At 43.1% G+C, this 3,725-nt stretch overlaps 2 annotated features.

Moving 5' to 3' along the window:
• Positions 1,020 to 1,806: an enhancer, noted in NCBI's record as "H3K27ac-H3K4me1 hESC enhancer chr13:106034184-106034970 (GRCh37/hg19 assembly coordinates)". NCBI's record gives its function as "activates a minimal SCP1, AML or CMV promoter by ChIP-STARR-seq in primed H9 embryonic stem cells {active_cell/tissue: H9 hESC(primed)}" and the evidence as "EXISTENCE:reporter gene assay evidence [ECO:0000049][PMID:30033119]".
• Positions 1,807 to 2,592: an enhancer, noted in NCBI's record as "H3K27ac-H3K4me1 hESC enhancer chr13:106034971-106035756 (GRCh37/hg19 assembly coordinates)". NCBI's record gives its function as "activates a minimal SCP1, AML or CMV promoter by ChIP-STARR-seq in primed H9 embryonic stem cells {active_cell/tissue: H9 hESC(primed)}" and the evidence as "EXISTENCE:reporter gene assay evidence [ECO:0000049][PMID:30033119]".

The following is a 3,725-nucleotide window of genomic DNA, read 5'->3' on the forward strand; positions in this document are numbered from 1 at the left end:
TCTCGGCTCTCTGCTTCCATCTTAGAACTGAATTTAAGTCATGACATGGTACCATGTATGATGGCCATCTTTTTACTAGTAGTTGGCCAGATCAACCAACACATTGCTATCAAAACCATTTCCATGGTCTGGGAAGATGGGAAGCAGAATTGATGAACGTTAAGTTTCATTCATCTGGCTCAATATTGCATGAAAATGTGGGTAAAGTCTGTGTCGAGTCTGTGGATCTAAGAAACATATGAACCCTTCTTTTCATCTTCTGTAATAACCTCTTGATATAATCCATTTCCTATAATGTTTATATGTTAATATACATAAAGTATAAATGCATGAACTTCAGTTTATGTGTTTACATCTGCAGCTCGCTTGTACCAAGTTTGTAATGTGAAAAAAGTCTTATTAGAGCCTATGTCTCTTTGAGAATATCAGGAAATCAGGTCAATGCATCAAGAAGTTTATTTATCTGATAGACTTAAGGTAATAGGAATTAAACAATGAGAAGCAAAATAGAAGAAAGATGTTAGAAGGTTTGAGACAAGTGACAGACTGACATAAAAGAATAGGAAAAAGGAAAAGTAGTTTGATTTTATATGATCTGAAATGTTTCCCATTTATTTACATTACCTGAAACCACAGTAGCATAGACATGCATACTCTAACTTCATGCCACTGACATTCTTTGCAGCAGCAAGAATAAATTGCCTAAATAATAGATAACAGTTGATCAGGAAGAGCAATGTCCTAGCAGAGCTGAGACAACAGTGAGGAAATTAATGGACTAATATACCTATCATATTCATATCTTCAGTGACAAGTTATGTTTCCTATTTCTGAAATGTGTTTTGCATTATTAGTCAGAGCAGTATCTCTTATGTATTATTTTCCTACAAAATAATCTTTAGGTTTAATTCAAAAGTATTATGAACAGGTGTTAGATATGTCTTGATTACATCATTATGCAGTTTACAGAAATGCATTAACAAAAAGAAAGTGTTAATGTAACTGAAGCTCGATTCTAAGCAGGATGTTCATATTTTCTTTAAGTGGATACATGAAAATAAATAATGCAACATATACATAATGTACACTAGAAAGTTATTCTACTATTCAATATCTGTTTTGTCTGTCAATGTTCAATCAAACGTGATTAAAATGTAAGAGAAGACATTTTCTCAAGACATTGTTAAAAGTCAAAAAGTTTTTCTCGTCTGTTTTTTTCCCCATCTTTGTGGTTTTATCTACTTTTGGTCTTTGATGATGGTGATGTACAGATGGGTTTTTGGTGTGGATGTCCTTTCTGTTTGTTAGTTTTCCTTCTAACAGACAGGACCCTCAGCTGCAGGTCTGTTGGAATACCCTGCTGTGTGAGGTGTCAGTGTGCCCCTGCTGGGGGGTGCCTCCCAGTTAGGCTGCTCGGGGGTCAGGGGTCAGGGACCCACTTGAGGAGGCAGTCTGCCCATTCTCAGATCTCCAGCTGCGTGCTGGGAGAACCACTGCTCTCTTCAAAGCTGTCAGACAGGGACATTTAAGTCTGCAGAGGTTACTGCTGTCTTTTTTTTTTTTTTTTTTTTGAGACGGAGTTTCGCTCTGTCGCCCAGGCTGGAGTGCAGTGGCGCGATCTCGACTCACTGCAAGCTCCGCCTCCCGGGTTCACGCCATTCTCCTGCCTCAGCCTCCTGTGTAGCTGGGACTACAGGCACGCGCCACCATGCCCGGCTAATTTTTGTATTTTTAGTAGAGACGGGGTTTCACCGTGTTAGCCAGGATGGTCTCGATCTCCTGACCTCGTGATCCGCCCGTCTCGGCCTCCCAAAGTGCTGGTATTACAGGCGTGAGCCACCGCGCCCGGCCACTGCTGTCTTTTTGTTTGTCTGTGCCCTGCCCCGAGAGGTGGAACCTACAGAGGCAGGCAGGCCTCCTTGAGCTGTGGTGGGCTCCACCCAGTTCCAGCTTCCTGGCTGCTTTGTTTACCTAAGCAAGCCTGGGCAATGGCGGGCGCCCCTCCCCCAGCCTCACTGCCGCCTTGCAGTTTGATCTCAGACTGCTGTGCTAGCAATCAGCGAGACTCCATGGGCGTAGGACCCTCCGAGCCATGTGCGGGATATAATCTCGTGCTGTGCCGTTTTTTAAGCCCAATGGAAAAGCGCAGTATTTGGGTGGGAGTGACCCGATTTTCCAGGTGCCGTCAGTCACCCCTTTCTTTGACTAGGAAAGGGAACTCCCTGACCCCTTGCACTTCCCGAGTGAGGCAATGCCTCGCCCTGCTTCGGCTCGCGCATGGTGCATGCACCCACTGACCTGCGCCCACTGTCTGGCACTCCCTAGTGAGATGAGCCCGGTACCTCAGATGGAAATGCAGAAATCACCCATCTTCTGCGTCGCTTTCGCTGGGAGCTGTAGACAGGAGCTGTTCCTATTCGGCCATCTTGGCTCCTCCGAAAAACTGGAAACTCTAAAAAGCAGAGCGCCTCTCCTCCTCCAAAGGAACGCAGTTCTTCACCAGCAACGGAACAAAGCTGGAGGGAGAATGACTTTGACGAGCTGAGAGAAGAAGGCTTCAGATGATCAAATTACTCTGAGCTACGGGAGGACATTCAAACCAAGGGCAAAGAAGTTGAAAACTTTGAAAAAAATTTAGAAGAATGTATAACTAGAATAACCAATACAGAGAAGTGCTTAAAGGAGCTGATGAAGCTGAAAACCAAGGCTCGAGAACTACGTGAAGAATGCAGAAGCCTCAGGAGCCGATGTGATCAACTGGAAGAAAGGGTATCAGCAATGGAAGATGAAATGAATGAAATGAAGCGAGAAGGGAAGTTTAGAGAAAAAAGAATAAAAAGAAATGAGCAAACCCTCCAAGAAATATGGGACTATGTGAAAAGACCAAATCTACATCTGATTGGTGTACCTGAAAGTGATGGGGAGAATGGAACCAAGTTGGAAAACACTCTGCAGGATATTATCCATGAGAACTTCCCCAATCTAGCAAGGCAGGCCAACGTTCAGATTCAGGAAATACAGAGAACGCCACAAAGATACTCCTCGAGAAGAGCAACTCCAAGACAGATAATTGCCAGATTCACCAAAGTTGAAATGAAGGAAAAAATGTTAAGGGCAGCAAGAGAGAAAGATCGGGTTACCCTCAAAGGGAAGCCCATCAGACTAACAGCAGATCTCTCGGCAGAAACCCTACAAGCCAGAAGAGAGTGGGGGCCAATATTCAACATTCTTAAAGAAAAGGATTTTCAACCCAGAATTTCATATCCAGCCAAACTAAGCTTCATAAGTGAAGGAGAAATAAAATACTTTACAGACAAGCAAATGCTGAGAGATTTTGTCACCAGCAGGCCTGACCTAAAAGAGCTCCTGAAGGAAGCGCTAAACATGGAAAGGAACAACCAGTACCAGCCGCTGCAAAATCATGCCAAAATGTAAAGACCATCGAGACTAGGAAGAAACTGAATCAACTAACGAAGAAAATAACCAGCTAACATCATCATGACAGGATCAAATTCATACATAATAATATTAACTTTAAATGTAAATGGACTAAATGCTCCAATTAAAAGACAGACTGGCAAATTGGATAAAGAGTCAAGACCCATTAGTGTGCTGTATTCAGGAAACCCATCTCACGTGCAGAGACACACATAGGCTCAAAATAAAAGGATGGAGGAAGATCTACCAAGCAAATGGAAAACAAAAAAAGGCAGCAGTTGCAATCC

The sequence above is a fragment of the Homo sapiens genome, chromosome 13, assembly GCF_000001405.40.
Source record: "Homo sapiens chromosome 13, GRCh38.p14 Primary Assembly".
In the NCBI taxonomy this organism is placed as follows: domain Eukaryota; kingdom Metazoa; phylum Chordata; class Mammalia; order Primates; family Hominidae; genus Homo; species Homo sapiens.